General features: G+C 41.5%; 2 protein-coding genes and 1 pseudogene across 5 annotated transcripts in view, besides 1 other annotated feature; all 3 read right to left on the bottom strand.

Annotated features, from left to right (window-relative positions):
* Positions 1,321 to 1,521: a silencer, noted in NCBI's record as "peak3779 fragment used in MPRA reporter construct". NCBI's record gives its function as "represses an SCP1 promoter by STARR-seq MPRAs in K562 erythroleukemia cells {active_cell/tissue: K562}" and the evidence as "EXISTENCE:reporter gene assay evidence [ECO:0000049][PMID:32103011]".
* The window catches only part of RNF103-CHMP3 (RNF103-CHMP3 readthrough), a 217,693-nt gene continuing 202,744 nt past the window's right edge, over positions 4,278 to 19,226 (bottom strand). The window contains exons 6-8 of the mRNA NM_001198954.1: positions 11,206 to 11,327; positions 8,327 to 8,441; positions 4,278 to 6,797 (exon numbers count right to left, since the gene is read on the bottom strand). Coding sequence (NP_001185883.1) covers positions 6,652 to 6,797; positions 8,327 to 8,441; positions 11,206 to 11,327 — 383 coding nt within the window. The 3' untranslated portion in view covers positions 4,278 to 6,651. The remainder of the gene's footprint in view (positions 6,798 to 8,326; positions 8,442 to 11,205; positions 11,328 to 19,226) is intronic.
* CHMP3 (charged multivesicular body protein 3) overlaps positions 4,278 to 19,226 on the bottom strand; it is a 60,014-nt gene continuing 45,065 nt past the window's right edge. For 3 of the 4 annotated variants that reach the window (NR_036454.2, NM_001005753.3, NM_016079.4), the window contains 3 exons: positions 11,206 to 11,327; positions 8,327 to 8,441; positions 4,278 to 6,797 (listed from right to left, as the gene is read on the bottom strand). Coding sequence is in view for 3 of the 4 variants with exons in the window: in NM_001005753.3 (NP_001005753.1) it covers positions 6,652 to 6,797; positions 8,327 to 8,441; positions 11,206 to 11,327 (383 nt within the window). In the remaining variant the exon portion in view is untranslated. The remainder of the gene's footprint in view (positions 6,798 to 8,326; positions 8,442 to 11,205; positions 11,328 to 19,226) is intronic. The other variant, NM_001193517.2, reaches the window with a different exon arrangement.
* RNU6-640P (RNA, U6 small nuclear 640, pseudogene) lies at positions 16,052 to 16,156 on the bottom strand (annotated as a pseudogene).

A 19,226-nucleotide genomic window follows, 5' to 3' on the forward strand; every position in this document is an offset into this window, starting at 1 on the left:
ATCTTTGATAGGAGATTAGACGGATGGTCAGGTTACAGCCTGCCTGGAGTGAACTACTAGGTGACCACCTCAAGCTGAAAAGTGATTTTTAAAAAGCTATGTTTCAAAACAAACAAAAATGAGATGGTGGTATGAAATGATAGTTTGAGTGCCCTTGGAAATGAATAAATGGTTTTATTAGGGCACCAAGTAGATCCTATATGTGTTTGTTTGGGGTGAGATGTGGGATGGGGTGGGTGGGAGCTGATGCTGCTATTGCTGGATCCAAGTTGAGTACCTGAAAATGGAGAAACTTTTATTGCACGCCTGTACAACCATTATTTGCCTTCCACATCATAACGCCTTCTAGGGCTAAGTGTCTGACTCATTTTGTCTCCAGTGATGCGTGTGTTAGTCCATTCTCACGCTGCTATAAAGAACTACCTGAGACTGGATAATTTATGAAGAAAAGAGGTTTAATTAACTCACAGTTCTGCAGGCTGTACAGGAAGCATGGCTGCGAGGCCTCAAGAAACTTACAGTCATGGCAGAAGGGCGAAGGGAAAGCAAGCACCTTCTTCACATGGCAGAGGGAGAGAGCAAGCAAAGGGGGAAGTGCTACACACTTAACCAGATCTCATGAGAACTCACTGTCATGAGAACAGCAAGGGGGAAATCTGCCCCCATGATCCAATCACCTCCCACCAGGCTCTACCTCCAAGACTCAGGATCACAATTCAACATGAGATTTGGGTGGGGGGACACAGCCAAACCATATCATTCCACCCCGGCCCCTCCCAAATCTCATGTCCTCACATTTCAAAACACAATCATGCCTTCCCAATAGCCCCCTAAAGTCTTAACTCATTCCAGCATTAACTCAAATGTCCAAGTCAAGTCTCATCTGAGACCAGCCAAGTCCCTTCCTCCTGTGAGCCTGTAAAATCAAAAACAAGTCAGTTATTTCCAAGATACAATGGGGATACAGGCATTGGGTAAATGCTCCCATTCCAAATAGGAGAAATCAGCCAAAACAAAGGGGCTATGGGCCCCATGCAAGTCCAAAATCCAGGAGGGCAGTCATTAAATCTCAAACCTCCAAAATGATCTTTGACTCCACGTCTCACATCCAGGCCACACTGACACAAGGAGTGGGCTCCCAAGGCTCTGGGCAGCTCTGCCTCTGTGGCTCTGCATATAGTCCCCACAGCTGCTTTCACAGGCTAGCATTAACTGCCTGCAACTTTTACAGGTGCATAGTGCAAGCTGTCAGTGGATCTACAATTCTGGGGTCTGGTGGATGGTGGCCCTCTTCTCATAGCTCCACTAGGCAGTGCCCCAGTGGGGACTCTGTGTGGGCTCCAACCCCACATTTCCCCTCCACACTGCCCTCGCAGAGGTTATCTATGAGGGCTCTGCCTCTGCAGCAAACTTCTGCCTGGACATCCGGGCATTTCCATACATCCTCTGAAATCTAGGTAGAGGTTCCTAAACCTCAACTCTTCTGCACACCTGCCTAACACCACATGGAAGCCACCAAGGCTTGGGGCTTGCACCCTCTGAAGCAGCAGCCCAAGCTGTACCTTGGCCCCTTTTAGTCACAGCTGGAGCTGGAGTGGCTGGGATGCAGGGCACCATGTCCCAAGGCTGCACAGAACAGTGGGGCCCTGGGCTGGCCCACAAAAGCATTTCTTCCTCCTGGGCTTCCATGCCTGTGATGGGAGGAGCTGCTGTGAAGGTCTCTGAAATGCTCTAGAGGCATTTTCCTCACTCTCTTGGCTGTTAACATGAGGCTCTTCTTATGCAAATTTCTGCAGCCTTGAATTCCTCCCCAGAAAATGGATTTTTCTTTTTCACCACATGGTTGGGCTGCAAATTCTCCAAACTTTTATAAAAGCTCAGCTTCTGTTTTAAATATAAGTTCCACTTTGTTCATGCAAATGAGCATAGGCTTTTAGAAGCAATCAGGCCACATCTTGAACACTTTGCTGCTTAGAAATTTTTTCTGCCAGATACCCTCTCGAGTTCAGAGTTCACAGATCTCTAGAGCAGGGGCACAATGCCACCACTCTCTTTGCTAAAGCACAGCCAAGAGTGACCTTCACTCCAGTTCGGAATAAGATTCTCATCTCCCATCTGAGACCAACTCAGCCTGGACTTCACTGTCCATATCACTATCAGCACTTTGGTCACAACCATTCAACAAGTCTCTAGGAAGCTGCAAACTTTCCCTCATCTTCCTGTCTTCTTCTGAGCCCTCCAAACTGTTCCAACCTCTGCCCATTACCCAGTTCCAAAGTCACTTCCACATTTTCAGGTATTTTATAGCAATATCCCACTTCTCTGGTACCAATTTTCTGTATTAGTCCGTTCTCACACTGCCATAAAAAACCACCTGAGAGTGGGTAATTAATGAAGAAAAGAGGTTTAACTGACAGTTCCGCAGGCTGTACAGGAGGCATGGCTGGGGAGGCCTCAGGAAACACAGTCGTGGCGGAAGGGCAAAGGCACCTTCTTCACATGGTGGAGTGGGAGAGAGTGAAGCAGGAAGTGCTATACACTTTTAAACAACCAGATCTCATGAGAACTCACTATCATGAGAACAGCAAGGGGAAAATCCGCCCCCATGATCCAGTCGTCTCCCGCGAGGCCCCACCTCCAACACTCAGGATCACAATTCAACATGAGATTTGGGTGGGAACACAGAGCCAAACCATATCAGTGCCCAACAAAGTGTATGAGGGAAAAAGGAATGCGTGAACCAACAGTGCTCTTTCCTTACCTGAGAGCAAGCAAGAATGGAAAAAACGTGACCTCTCAACAATTAAACCAACCCTACGTTTATATCATTTTCTTTGAGTGGCTGGAAGAGAGGTTATTACTATTCTGGCTATCCAACCATCCACCCAGAACAAGTTTAATTATCCACATAAAAAATATTCAGGGATTATGAGCATCCCATATTTTCAACATCATCCTGTGAAGAAACTAGCTGGATTAAGGCTATCACAAAACAATAAACTGGCATTGCTGTATGTCAGTTTTTGCCAACTTGACCTGTGGATTCAATGCAATCCCAATCAAAACCCAGCAAAGTATTTTGTGGATCCTGACAAACTGGTTCTAAAGTTTACATGGAAAGGCAAAAGACCCAGAATAGCTGGCACAATATTGAAAGAGAAAAAGGTCAGAAGACTGATATTACCCAACTTTAAGACTCACTATAAAGCTACAGTAATTAAGATAGGGTGGTAATGGTGAAAAAATAGACATAATCACTGGAAACAAATAGGGAGCCCAGAAATAGCCCCACACAAATATAGTCAACTGATCTTTGACAAGGAAGCAAACGCAATACAATGGAGAAAAGACAGTCTTGGCTGGGGCAGTGGCTCATGCCTGTAATCCCAGCACTTTGGGAGGCCAAAGAGGAAGGATCACTTAAGTCCAGGAGTTCGAGACCAGCCTGGGCAATATAGTGAAACCTCATCTCTACAAAAACACCTTTAAAATTTAGCTGAGCATGATGGCATGCACCAGGGGAAGGATCACTTGAGCCCAGGAAGCAGAGGTTGCAGTAAGCCAAAATGGCATCACTCCACTCCAGCATGGGTCGACAGAGTGAGACCCTGTCTCAAAAGAAGTATTTTCAACATCAACAAATGGTGAACAACTGGACATGCACATGCAAAAAAAAAAAAAGAAATCAATCTAGACACAGACTTTAACACCCTCACAAAAATTAACTCAAAGTAGATCACAGACCTAAATGTAAAACACAAAATTCCTGGAAGATAACAGGAGAAAATCTAGATGGCTGTGGGTTTGGTGATGATTTTTTAAAATACAACACTAAAGGCACAATCCATGAAAAACACAGATAAGCTGGATTTCAATAAAAATAAAAACTTCTGCTTTGTGAAAGCCACTGTCAAGATAATGAGAAGACAAACCACAGACTGGGATAAAATATTTGCAAAAGGCACATCTGATAAAGGACTGTTAGCCAAAATAGACAACACTTAAAATTCAATAATCAGAAATACCCAATTAAACAACAGGCAAAAGACCTGAAAAGACAACTTACCAAGAAGCAAGCATATGAAAAGATGTTCAACATATGTCATGAGGGGACTGCAAATGTCAATCAATCAGGTACCACCACATAACCATTAGCATAGCCAAAACCCAGAACGCTTACACCACCAAATGCTGGTGAGGGTGTGGAGCAACAGGAACTCATTAATTGCTGGTGGGAATGCAAACGGTACACTTTGACAGTCAAACGAGACAAACCATATGATCCAGCACTGAAGCTCTTGGTATTTATTCAAATGAATTAAAAACATGCCCATAGAAAAACCTGCACAAAGATGTTTACAACAGCTTTATTCATAATTGCCAAAACTTGGAAACCACCAAGAAGTCTTTCAATAGGTGAATGGATAAACTATTCATCTAGACAATGGAGTATTATTCAGTGCTAAAAATAAATGCACTATTAAGCCATGAAATGACATGGAGGAACCTTAATTGCATATTATTAAGTGAAAGAAGCCAGTCTGAAAAGGCTACATACTATATGATTCCAATATGACATTCTAGAAAAGGAAGAACTATGGCGACAGTAAAAAGTGGTTGCCAAAGAAAGATCATGTCCTTTGCAGGAACATGGATGGGGCTGGAGGCCATTATCCTTAACAAACTAACATAGGAACAGGAAACCAAATATTCCATGTTCTCACAAGTGGGAGTGAAATAACATGGACACAAAGGAATAACATACTGGGGCCTACCTGAGGGTGGAGGGTGGGAAAAGGGACAGGACCAGAAAAGTAACTATTGGGTACTAGGCTTAGTACCTGGGTCACTAAATAATCTGTATAACAAACCCCCTTGTCACGAGTTTACCTGCACATGTACCCCCTGAACCTAATTTTTTTTTTAAAGTGGTTGCCAGGGGATTAGGGAAGAAAGGGATGAACAGGTGAAGCATAGAGAAGTTTTAGGGCAGTGAAACTATTCTGTATGATTCTATAATTGTAGATATCATCATACATTTGTCTAAGCCCATACAATGTACAACACCAGAGTGAATCTTCATGTAAACTATGGACTTTGGGTGATAATGATGTGTCAATGGAGGTTTATTGATTGTAACAAATGTACCACTCTGGTGTGGGATACTGATAGTGGTGGGAGGCTATGCATGTGTGAGGGCAGGGGATATATGAGAAATTTCTTTTTGTCCACTTTTGCTGTGAACCTACAACTGATTTAAAAAAATAATTATTTAAAATAATTTTTTAACTACACTCTGAAGATGAAATCAAGAGTAATAGGAGGGTCCTCTGGACTCAAAAATGAAATTTTTTTTTTTTTTTTTTTTTTTTTTTGGAGAGACAGGATCTTGCTATGTTGCCCAGGCTGGTCTTGAACTCCTATTCTCAAGAGAGCCTCCTGCCTCAGCCTTGTAAAGCACTGGGATTATAGGCATGAACCACCGCACCCAGCCAAGATTGCCATTTTGTATGATGAGACTGGAAGGACCCCATTGTTTCAGGATTTTGCTACAATATACAAAAAACAATCTGTGAGACAGTGGCTGGGCTTTTTTCCTGCCTGATTAGTTCAGTGCACATACAACTTGGACCAGAGGATCTGGGTTTGAATCCCATCTCTGATACTTCCCAAACTGAGCTGTTTTCCTTATTTGTAAAGACTAAGATCGCGTATGTCAAAGAGCTCTGTAAACTCTCAACACATACAAAGTACTACTGCTGAAATGATTTATAAATGTATCTTAAGAATGTCCCAGATGAGTGAATGTTGGTTATGATGCATGACCACACCTTAGTGTGCTCCTGGTCAGCTCCTGACTTTGAGAAAACACAGATAGGAAGGCCCATGTCCCACGCACAAGACAACCAGCTCGAAGCAGGGACAGGCAATGAGAGGTGAAAGAGACCTAGTACTACAGCTGTCTCATCTGGGTGCAACTTGCAATGGGAAGGAAGGGACAGAAGCTCTAAATAGACCCACATGCACACCCCAGGACATAATGCAGCCACCAGCCAACAGGACAAGCAGCACAATTCCCCAGCATCCTCTTGGTTAAATAGATAAAAGAATGGCTGCCATACCATGTCTGTGAAAGCCGGGGAGCAGCAACCACAGAGCAGAAGTCACTTCTGCTGAGCTTCCAAATCCCATATGCCTGGCCATAGCAACTCTTTCCACACCCAGCAAATGAAGCAATCTGGGGCAGCCGACACCTTGAAAGTTTACTGCACAGGGCAATCTACAATGGGGCCAAGTGCTAAAGCAAAAATTTATTAAAATTCATTTATATAGTGTTTTATAGACAAAAGTAGAGTCTTCGACATTCAGGCAATCACCTATATTTTCAGAAGTGCTTCATGAGCAGATGGATTTCTTTCCCCTCCCCACAATAAGATATATCTGTCTATACTCCTAAAAATGATGCATTTATTTATGCCACTTTTATAAGAACAATCCCTTTGCGATCCCAAAACCTGGGCAGAGAATGAAAAGAGACAAACAGAACCTTCTCCAAAATGGTAGTCCTCACAACAGAGGTGTAGTGCAAGAGACACATAAAATGGCAGCTCTTGAGAGGAGTGTGTGCACACCCAGCGGGGTAGGCAGCCCCTAGCTGCGGAGTGTGGCCAGCCGGGACTGCATGGCCTCCAGAGCCTCTTCCTCCTCCTCCTCATCCTCTGAGGCAGCCATCGCTCCTGGAGGTTCTGGCTCTGGAAGGGCATCAGTCACTTTACTGGGTGCTTTGCCCAAGGCCCCTGAAAAGAAAGAGCAAAGATGAACACCACATTGGCTTAAGGAAGCAGCCCCTCAATCTTCCCTGCCTTTCATTCCTGGACCAATCTGACCAGATACAAAAATGAGACAGTACAGCAAGCTGTTTTTGGGGGGGTTTACTCACTCTGGGAAATGTGCAAATAGCTACCTGTAATGATACCAAAGTCATAATAATTGTAAGGATTTTAAGAATCTCGGTTCTGAAGCTCCTAATCTAAATTCCTAAATGCTACTGAAAACTTTAAATCTTCTTTCTGAATAAAACTAAATTGTTTCTAAATCTTCACAAAATATTTTCTTGGAGTAACTGTCTTCCTTTCCCCAACAACTTAAACCCAACAAATGAACTAATAAAAATTAAACCCCACCATTTTTTTAATTAAACATAAAACTCAGAAAATCTAGAAGTAAAAATAAAGTTTAAAAACTCATTAACCATCACTTGGAGATTACTATTTTTATCATCTCCCTTCCAGACTTCTATAGACATGTTTTTACACAAAAGTATGTATTTCAGTAAAAAGGCTTTATTCACATGTTGTAAACATCATTCCATGTTAACGAGTATATTTCTATACCATCTATCACAATATATAGTATTCCATTAAAATAAATATAACACAAATGATTTTATTAGGCATTTAGTTTGTTTCGAACCTTTTTTTTTTTTTTTTTTTGAGACAGGCTGGACTGCAGTAGTGCGATCATGGCCAACTGCAGCCTGGACCTCCTGGGCTCAAGCAATCCTCCCACCTCAGTCTCCCAAGCAGCTGGGACTAAGGTGTGTGCCACCACACCCACCTACCTAATTTTTATATTTTTTGTAGAGACAGGGTTTCACCATGTTGCCCAGGCTGGGCTCCTGAGTTCAACCAATCCACTTGCCTCAGCCTCCCTCACAAGGTGTTGGGATTACAGGCATAAGCCACTGCACCTGGCCCTCAAACGTTTCATTTTTATAAATAATGCTACTACAGACATCCTTGAATTAAATATTTCAGCACATTCTTAATTATTTCATTAAACTCCCAGAAGTCAATCTATTAGGTCAAATTTTTTTTTTTAATATATATTTTTTTGAGATGCGGTCTTGCTATGGTTGCCCAGGCTGGTCTCAAACTCCTGGGCTCAAGCGATCCCCCACCTGAGCCTCCCAAAGTGCTGGGATAACAGGCGTGAGCCATCGCACTTGGCGAAGGCAAGGGCTTTTGAATGGCTATGGCCAAATTGCTTTCAAGAAAGTCTACACCAGTTTAAAATCCCAACAGCAGTATATGAGAGCAGTATCTTCCTTTAAAATCATGCAAACTCTAAAAATTTTAAGAATTGTGTTTTTTAAAAGATGGTTATAGATATTGTGCTTACTTTTCAAGAAATAAGCTGCACAGTGTAAAACGTTAAAAATGTAGAAGGGAGTTAATGCCTAAAGAAAAAGCTACTAGCTAATTTAGTGAATGAAGGAAGAATGGCCATAAAAAGAGAGGAGAAAGGATGGATCTCACGGTCATACCTGCTGTAATTTCAAAGAGAATTCTGTCAATTTCCATTTCTGCTTCTTCCTCCATTTCTTCCTGATCGTCCATGCTTTCAAAAGTGTCCTCTAACATCTCCTCTATGATCCCAGCCTAAACAGAATAAATATGTCACTTCGGTCAACTGTTAAATCTGTTCCCATCAGACACCCTACACATCACCTAGACCGAGCTCTAGCCTAAGTCCAGTCTATCCTTTCAAGAGCTGACACACGAGACAGCTGGCCAAAGGAAACACTGGATGTTGTCCTCTCTGCAGAAATGCAAAAGCCCCAAAGGGAAACGGCTCTCTAAATTTAACACCCTAGGGGTGGGGAGTGCTACTACTGGCTGTCAGCAGAGCTTCCTAAAGTAACCCAGACTTAATATAATGGCAGCACCTGAGAAACAGCTCACTGACAGATGAGTGTATTTCCAGCGCTGTTTTGGGAAGCATCTGTCCTAACACTGCAAATATAATCCGTGAACGCAGGGGTTGGAATATGGTATGAAAAGTGGTTGGAGCCGTAGTAGATGCCGTGATAAAAAAATGCCAACAGCAGGGTAAAAGCCAAAAAAGGCCTGAAGAGGACTCCAGCTTGTCCAGGTTACATCTGCCAGAATGGGGTAATCTGGTAGGTCTGCAAGGATCAATTAACCAAAATCTGATCACCCACTCCTGGGAGAACTAAGACAATACTTCTGGACTCAACAAGGTAAAGGCCAGACACTTTTCTGGAAGTCCTGTGCCTGGCAGCCTGCAGGAGCCAGCCAGTCAGCCTCCTCTGTTCTCAAGGCAGCATGGCACCACTGCAGGACACAAGCAAATGGCTTTAACACTGGCCCAACCCAACCTAGCCCTGCAGTCTTTGTGCTCAGCAGTTCCTCAACTCCCAGATAGGGCCCTACTGAATGTTCTTTGTTACTGAAGCAAAGGGTCGGAACAGCAACCTCCAAAGTCAACAAGAGGGCTGCTGACATCCCTGGGCAGAACAGGTACTGGGGGTGCTGAGTGGCTGTGGTGGAGGGCATGGGTTCAGGTTTCTGAGAAGTTGCTAGAAAAAGAAAATCCTGGTTGTCTTGCCACCTGAAAAAACTAAGTCCCTTGCTTTGTACCTTGATGTTTTGGTGATTCAAGGAGCAGAAGGTCACATGTAGCAGCTCCGGCCCTGGCTCCCTTGTACTCAGCCAGGGTACAATTCTCAGTGACTATGCTGAAGGGTTCAGATTTAAAGCAACCCTCTATCCTGCCTGCCTGAATCTAACTAGCACCCTATTCTGCCCATCCTCAGATCCGTTCTTCCCAACCAAAATGAACAAATAAATTCATATTCATGTTCACCCAGGTGAAACCCTAGGGCCTTCCTGAATGGGATCATCTTAGTACTGGGGGCTACCATAAAAGAAGTGCAATAAATGCTTGCTAATTGGTTAAAAAGAGTCCACCAGAATCCTAATTGTAATAGCCCTTCACACTCTGGAGGTAGAAGTTGTCATTTATTTATTCATTCAATCAGCAACGATTCATCAAAGTCCTGCTCTGTGCCACACAATAGGCCTGGGATAAACAGAATGACTAAGATGTGTTCTTGCCCTTGAGGAGCTGAGCCCCTACTGGGGCCTTCAGAATGTACTACACGCAAGCCTTCCTCCAAATCTGTATTACTCCCAGTATTCAGAAACCATTATGAAAAAGATCCCAGATTCTGAAAAAGGCTTCCCTCTCAGATCCTGGTGGCTGAGTTAAAATGAGCAAGCCTGAAGGCACTCCAAGAATGATCTTCTTATCTGGTTCTAGATGAACAGTGATCACCAACTTGGGGGCAAGACACCTACATGCTATTTGTAAAGGACATACCCTCCTGACCCAGTTCCTTCCTTACTGCTACTGCCCAAGGAGTTCTCATTCAAACAACCTGGGCCCTGGGCTTTCTATGTCATTTTTCTGCAATTTTCTTTTCCAGCCCCTCTCTCCCATGCCCTAAACCCTGTACATAATTCAAGTTCATAAATGAAATTCCCTGAGAGGAAGGGAGGTGATTTCTATGCACAGCCTCTATACAAGAATTTGAGGTGTACACTCTTGGTTGTCAGCCACAGGTCTGAAGCATGAAACAGCATCTGTGTGAGGGACCTCCCATCCTCATTTCCTCTGTGACAACTCACGTGATAAGGTCAGACTGCAGTGCCCCAACTCTATATCTTCACTTACAACCAAGGTGACCTTAGGGAAACTACCTGATGACCCAAAAGCTCAGTTTCTGTCTATGTAAAACGAGGACAAAAATCCCTACTTCTCACGATGGCTAGAAGAACAGACTAGGAGATAGGACAGTATGTGGCTGCCGGGGCTCGGCAGCAATGCCTTCTTTATCCCTGTCCTTGTCTGAGGGCCACGAGTACAGGTCCTTGCCAGACCCTGATCCTGGGGGTGGCAGGTATTTACGCACTTTCTATTTGATTCTCAGTCTCTCCTTTTTTAGTTTAAAACAGGGATCAGCAAACTACAGCTGCTGCAGGCCAAATACGGTCTCTGCCTGTTTTTGTAAATCAAGTTTCTTTCCATCTCCTTGCCTATGTTGGACCCTGCAAACTTTATTTCCTTGATCCCTAAATGGTTGCTCCTTGGATCCCCCACCTCCTCTAGAGCTCTGGGTAGACTTTTGCTTCTTCTACAGAACACTCTGGCAATCTGACCCAGCCTCTGCTATGCTGAGCTCAAATGGTTTCAATCAATGTTAACAGCTACTCCTTAAAATTAATTCTGTCTAGCAGGTGTAGTCTGTTCATCCCCACCCACCCTCATCCCTAGCCCCCTGTTACTTGTTTAGAGTGACTCTGGGGTTTGGAAAGGAAAGCAGGGCTAGCCCCAAGTCACCTTCATCATTTCTTTGGACAACTCCCTCATGGTGGCCTGAATCTCTGGAATCTTCACAAGACTTTGCATGGCCTTCATCACTTCTGTGCTCTTCTGCAGGGAACCAGCCACTCGCAAGACCGCTGAAAGAGAATGTGTACAGTCAGGATTGTTCAACAGGATGGAATAGAGAGAGACAGCCAAATTATGAGCCATTCCAATAAATGACAGCAGTAGCAGATGGACTCCCGAAGTTATTTGTGTGCCTTTAAATTAATTACTGTGCTAGTTGACCAAGAGATTGACTTTCCTAAATTGTATGCTATCTGGGTTACTACTGATGTGAATTCAATGAGCATGCACACCACATGACCAATCTGGAGAGTGGCCTGAAGCCACTCTTGACTTTTAGGAAAGGAAGCCAGCTTGGAGTAACTGTGACACCCAGGAAAATCACAAATGGGAGAAAGAGCTCCAGACCTTGTAAAGGCCACACTAGGAAAGAGAAGGCTTCAGGACCCGAGCAGAGCTCCCCACACACCAGCCTATGGACAGTATCTGTTCAGTATGGAGCCAGCTTATCATTGGTCCTCAGAAAAATGAGAGAAACTAGGACAGATACAGTGAATATGTGTATGTGTGTCAATGTGAGGTGGTTCCTTACTAGAGAAAAACCTTCTGTAGTCTGAGATTGTATGCCTACTACAATCTTCTTTATAAGAAATCACGGTAGTATCAAAAGATCATTGCCCCACCCTCAATGTCTTTAACATGTCAAAGAGTTGGCAACCATCTAAACCTGTTTTGGAATTTCATGAGACTTGAAGTTCTGAGAGCTGTCATATACAAGCTGTTCCCTAAAACCGGCACACAGACTTCCTTCCTCCTGGCTAAACCAGGAGTCACTACAGGTTTACTTCTGGTGGAATCCAGACCCTAGGAAGCTTTCACATCTAAGGGAAAACAAGAGTGACCAGAGAAATGCCTGTCTGACATTCATAGCACTGTGATTTTTCTAAAGGAGTAAGGGAGTTTGCTAGTTGCAGAGAACACTTCATTTCTCTTAACACTGAAATGGGAAAATAAAATATTTATTAATATTAGTAGAATGACAGAGGAAGTGCCAAGAATCTGTGAGGCTGAAATAAGCAATAAATTACATATGCCATTAAAATGATAAAAAAGTTATAATTACTTTTATAAATTTACTTTTATAAATTTATAAAATTTTATAATTTTATAAAAAGTTAAAAATTACTATTGATTATATAAAGGTGGGAAGAAAAGGGTAAAAATAAAGCAAATTCCATCCAGTTTTGTTTATAAAGCCTGATGTCTACATGAGCCTGTAGTTGTATTATTATTTTATAATTTGCATCCTGATACATCCTTATACATATTATAAGTTGTATTATTATTTGCATCCTGAGTCTGTAACCCAGAGAGAGTACCTGAACATGGTATGTGTTCAGTAAACATTTTTGGGCTGAATTAGTGAAAATAAGTAAACAGATGGGAGACATGGAAAAAACTGTGACTAGAGAAGTATTTAAACACTGAATCATTTGTATTCTGAAAAAGGTATAAATTTCTGATTATTAGAAGGTACAAGAAGGGAAGAGTCAATGTTGTAGGAAAAAGGGGACACAAAAATAAACTTAGAAATAAAACTTATTACAAAAACACTCAAGTTGATAACCAACCAAAATGGATTAGGTAAGTGGATTTTTAAAAGGCCAGACTAATTGTATGTTGTACACTTGAAACTCAAGACAAAGGTGGTTGCTATGGTTTGAATACGTCCTCTCCAAAATTCAGGTGTTGCCACTGTGATAAGTATTAAGAGGTGGAGTTTTTAAGAGGTGATTAGGCCATGAGGTTCCACCCTCCTGAATGGATTAGGTGCCCTTAGAAAAGGGCCTACAGGAGGCAGTTCGTTCTCCGTTGCCCTTCCTCCTGCCACGTGAGAACACAGCATGCCTACCCTCCAGAAAATGCAGCCCTCACCAGACAACCAACCCTGCCAGCACCTTAATCTTGAACTTCCCAGACTCCAGAACTGCATGAAATAAAATTCTACTCTGAATAAATTACTCAGTCTCAGGTATTCTGCTATAGCAGCACAAAAGAAACTAAGACAGGTATTTAAAAAATGTATTTCCTATGTTCCAAAAGGAAAAACGAAAAAAGGTGTGGCAGGTAAAAATTATTTCATAATAAAAATAGCCACACCTTCAAAAGAATGAAAAGGCAAGCCCCAAGCTGCAGGAAAATATTTGCAAAAGACATATCTGATAAAGGACTGCTATCCACAACATACAAAAAACTCGTAAAACTCAATAATGAGAAAATAACTGAACTTAAAAATGGGCAAAAGACCTGAACAGATAACTCACCAACATGATATATTAATATAAATGGCAAGTAAGCATATGAAAAGATGTTCAACATCTTATGTCATTTGGGGACTGTAAATTAAAACAATGAGATACCACTAAAAACCCCTTAGAATGGCCCAATCCAGACCACTGACAATACCAAATGCTGGCGAGAATGTGCAGCAACAGGAACTCTCATTCATTACTGATGGGAATGCAAAATGGTACAGCCACTTTGGAAGACAAAGCCAGACACACACCTACCATATGATCCAGCAAGTGTGCTCCTTGGTAGTTATCATAATGAATTAAAAATATGTCCACAGAAAAACCTGCACACAGATGTCTTATAGCAGCTTTATTCATAACTGCCAAAACTTGTCAGAAACCAAGATGTCTTTCAGCAGGTGTACGGATAAACAAACTGGTACGTCCAGACAATGGAATATTATCCAGTACTAAAAATAAATGAGCTTTCAAGCCATGAAAAGACAAGGAAGAAACTTAAATGCATATTACTAAGTGAAAGAAGCCAGTCTGAAAAGGCTACATATTGTATGATTCCAACTATATGACATTCTAGAAAAGGCAAAACTATGGAGACAGTAATAAAATCAGTGGTTGCCAAGAGTTAGTAGGGAAAAAAGATGAATAAACAGCACAGAGAATTTTTAGGGCAGTGAAACTATTTTGTATGATACTATAATTGTGGATATCATTATATATGTGTCCAAACCCATCGAATGTACAACACCAAGAGTGAATCCTAATGTAAACTATGGACTTTGGGTGATAATGACATGTAAATAGAGGCTTACTGATTGTAACAAATGTACCACTCTTGTGTGGGATGTTGACAGTGAATGAGGCTATGCAAGTGTGAGGGCAGGGGTATGTGGATTTTCTGTACTTTCTATTCAATTTTGCTGTGAACCTAAAACTGCTCAAAAAATAAGTTTACTAAAAAATAAAAACAACTATACCCTGAAGGTGAAATCAAGAGTAATAGAAGGGTCGTCTGCATTCAAGATTGCCATTTGTATCATGAGACTGAAAGGACTCCACTGCAGCAACACCTGGCATCAGGCATTCCATCCAGAATCTACAAAACCAACCTGCCAGAGAGCCGTTGGGCTTTTTTCCTGCCTGATTGTTTTAGTGCACATATGACTTAGACTAGAGATAATTGGGTTTGAACCCCAGCTCCGCCATTTCCTCACTGCCATCTTAAGCAAGCTGAATTATTTTCCTTATTCGTGAAGATTGAATGAGATCACATATGTCAAAGAGCTTTGTAAACTCTCACACACATACAAATATAAAGTGCTACTGCTGAAGCAGTTTATAAATATATCTTAAGAATGTCCCAGATGAGTGAGAGTTGGTTAGGATGCATGACCACACCTTGGTGTGCTGCTGGTCAGCTCCTGACTCTGAGAAAGCACTGATGGAAAGGCCCATGTCCCATGTACAAGATAACCAGCTCGAAGCAGGGACAGGCAATGAGAGGTGAAAGAGGCCTAGTTCCACAATTCTGTTCTAATATAAGCCACAGTGGTCAAGTTTTCCGTTATTTGCTGCTGAACATATTCCTTAGTTAATATAACAAAAGAAAGCAAAAATATCATCCATTATATTTTATGAAGTATATGTAACACTAATTCTAAAGTCTGAACAAAACTCTAATCATAGTTTTGCCAGATAGCATTCTAATGAGCTCACGTGCTATTTAAAGTATAAAACTATCCTCAAATAGACTGTACAAACCCATTAAGACCACAGTGGATTCACATTCAATAGGCATGGGTGGCTTAATCTTAAAATACCACATTCAAAAACCAAGAACACACATTATATACTAAAATATAAATGGCATCAGGGTAGTGACTGCGTCCCACTGTGTTAACAATATGTTGAATGCATAGAATGCAATCAACAAATAGGTGCTGAATGAATAAATGAATCAATCTATAAACAAAGCATTATTTAATGGTAGAAAGTCCCAGAAAGCATGTGTTAGACTGAAACAGAAATTCCTATCTAAAATCTTCAAAAGACTAGAGCATTCAAAGTATCGTTATATATTTAATTAAAATGTTAATTAAAATGCCAAATTTCCTGCTTAAAAATGGTTAAAATGGCAAATTTTCGTACATATATTTTACTATAAAACCTCCCCACATCCCCCAAAAAAGGTTAAAATTCTAGAGAAAACATTACTAAGTCAGTAATGTAAAAGCTAGTTGACCACATTTAAAACAACAAAGATCAAAGTAACACAGAGAGGAATATGAAATAAACTGGGCAGCATTTCATTGGTCACAGCTCTTTTTGCTGAAATCCTTCCCCACCCCAGGCCTGTCTGCAGATCTCTCTGGGTTCAGGCTCTCTCCAACTTCAGGGTCTCTCCACATGGTCCTCCCTCAGTGTGGAGTGCCAGTCCCACTGACAGCCCCATATGTAGAGGCTTGGGGGACAAAGTTAAAAAAAAAAAAATGGAATGCTTCAGAAGTTTGTATTTATCCTTGTGCAGGGCCACATTAATCTTCTCAGTATTGTTCCAATTTTAGTATATGTGCTGCCCAAGAGAACACTAGATTTCTTTCTTTCTTTCTTTCTTTTTCTTTTGAGACAGTCTCGCTCTGTTGCCCAGCTAGAGTGCAGTGGCACGATCTCAGCTCACTGCAAACTCTGCCTCCCGGGTTCTAAGCGATTCTCCTGCCTCAGCCTCCTGAGTAGTTGGGATTATAGGTGTGCGCCACCATGCCAGCTAATTTTGTATTTCTAGTAGAAGTGGGGTTTCACTATGTTGGTCAGGCTGGTCTCGAACTCCTGACCTCAGGTGATCCACCCGCCTCAGCCTCCCAAAGTGCTGAGATTACAGGTGTAAGCCACTGTGCCCAGCCACTAGATTCCTTTTATTTGGAGGACAACTCACTATTTTATTCCCAGTGCCTAGCACTGTGCCTGACACAGCCAACAATCAAATATTTGTTGAAAAAAACAATAAATGAATTTAACACTGAGGTGATTTTATAAAGACTCAAGTGCTCCTACATAGAATGAAAGATTTAGTATTGGGTCAGAAATATGTTTTCTCTTTTCTTTTTTGTATTGATCATTAAAATTCCAGAACATTTCTTTATTTAAAAAAAATTTTTGGCTGGGCATGGTGGCTCACCCCTGTAATCCCAATACTTTGTGAGGCTGATGTGGGTGGATCACGAGGTCAGGAGATCCAGGCCAACATGGTGAAACCCCGTCTCCACTAAAAAATACAAAAACCAGCTGGGTGTGGTGGCGCACGCCTGTAATCCCAGCTACTCAGGAGGCTGAGACAGGGAAATCACTTCAACCCGGGAGGCGGAGACTGCAGTGAGCCGAGATCGCACCACTGCACTCCAGCCTGGCGACAGAGCAAGACTCCATCTCAAAAAAAAAAAAAAAAAAGAAAAAAAAATTTATATGGCAAAAAGTGGGGAGAAGGAAATAGAAGCTCATTCTCCCAGTGTTTTAAATTACAGACAGAACATCCACATACTGGTGACAAAAAGCAACTGATGTAGGAAAAGAAATTAAAAACCAGAAATAAAAAAGGGTTCACTTTTAAACATTTCATCAAAGAGAATTTTGAAGACACAGAAAAGTAGAGAAGTATCATTTCACCAAAGAGGAGATACGGATGGCAAATAAGCACATGAAAAGATTAGCCACTATGGAAATGCAAAGTAAAACCACAATCAGCACCATAGACCTACCAGAATGCCTAAAATAAAAAATAGTGACAACAACAAATGTTGGAGAAGATGTAGAAAAACAGGATCACTCATACATTGGCTGGTGGGAATTTAAACCTGTACACTTTTATAGCAGCTTTATTCATAATAGCCAACAACTGGAAGCAACTGAGAAGGCCTACAATGGGTAAATGGTTAAATAAACTGGTATATCCATATAATGGAATACCACTCAGCAATAAAAAGAAATGAACTATGGATACATGTAAACACTTGAGTTAATTTCCATAGAAGTATGCTGAGTGAAAAAAGCCAATCCCAAGAAGTTACATAACTACATAATTCCATTTATACAACATTCTTAAAGTAACAAAATTATAGAAATGGAGAATTAGTGGCTGCTAAGGAGAAGGTGGAGATGGGAGGAAAGTACGTGTGGCTATACAAGGGCAACATGACGGATTCTTGTATTTATGGAAATGTTCTGTAGTTTGATTGCATCGATGGCAATATCCTGATTGTGAGATTGTACTCTGGTTTTGCAAGATGTTACTATCGGGGGAAACTAGGTGAAGGGTACACAGAATCTCTCTGTATTATTTCTTGCAAATACAGGTGTACTACATGTATGTGAGTCTACTATTTTCTAAAAACATAAGCCTTAATTTAAAAAAAATTAAAGCATATAAAAATAAAGTAACATTACATTCCCACACCTGATACAAATGAAAAAAGGATATTGTATGCATAAAACAATTTCTGCTATAAATATGACCATGTTGTAATATCAACAACTAACGCTGGAAGCAAAATAACTAAAAAATTAGTTTCATGGCCAGGAGCAGTGGCTCACGCCTGTAATCCCAGCACTTTGGGAGACTGAGGAGGGCAGATCATGAGGTCAGGAGATCGAGACCATCCTGGCTAACACAGTGAAACCTGGTCTCTACTAAAAATACAAAAAATTAGCTGGGTGTGGTGGCGGGCACCTGTAGTCCCAGCTACTCGGGAGGCTGAGGCAGGAGAATGGCGTGAACCCAGGAGGTGGAGCTTGCAGTGAGCCAAGATCGTGCCACCGCACTCCAGCCTGGGAGACAGAGCGAGACTCCGTCTCAAAAAAAAAAAAAAAAAAAAATTAGTTTCATAATCAGTAGATGTGGAACCCAGTGAAAATATTCTGAAAAGAATCTGGACACCAATAATGAAAGCAACAAAAACAGAGAATTCTCTCTACCTATCACAGGCTCTCATGGGAATTACAGTTAAATTTTTTAAAAATTAGCAAATAAAAATAGGGCCAGGCATAGTGGCTCACACCTGTAATCCCAGCACTTTGAGAGACCCAGGCAAGCGGATCACTTGAGCACAGGAGACCGAGACCAGCCTGGGCAACATGGTGAAACCCCATCTCTACAAAAAACTAGCTGGGTGAGGTGGCTCGTGCTTGTAGTCCCAGATACCCAGGAGGCTGAGGTGGGAGGATCACCTAAGCCACGGAGGTTGAGGCTATGAGAGCCATGATCACACCACTGCACTCCTGACTGGGCAACAGACCCTATCTCAAAAATAAAATGAAGTAAAAATATTGACACACTAGACCAACAGTGTGGGTTTTAAAAGCCAACTTAAAACAGGCATTTACAAACACAATGAATCAGATTATAAGAAAATATGAAATCTTATGACATTTCTGACAAATGAAAGCTCAGAGAAGGGATATTAAAAACATTTGAGCCTCAAAAGTAAAAATCCCTTGAGAGTAAGACAACTTTTCCTTGAAACAAGGTTAAGAAAAAAGAAAAGTTAAAAGGTACATCATGATTTCCAAAGAAATCTCTAACACATAATAATAATGAACAGAAAGATAAAAATCATAAGAAAAAGGAGATAGTACAAACATTCTATAATATGGTGAACCAAAACCAAA

The sequence above is a fragment of the Homo sapiens genome, chromosome 2 (genome assembly GCF_000001405.40).
Source record: "Homo sapiens chromosome 2, GRCh38.p14 Primary Assembly".
Taxonomy (NCBI): domain Eukaryota; kingdom Metazoa; phylum Chordata; class Mammalia; order Primates; family Hominidae; genus Homo; species Homo sapiens.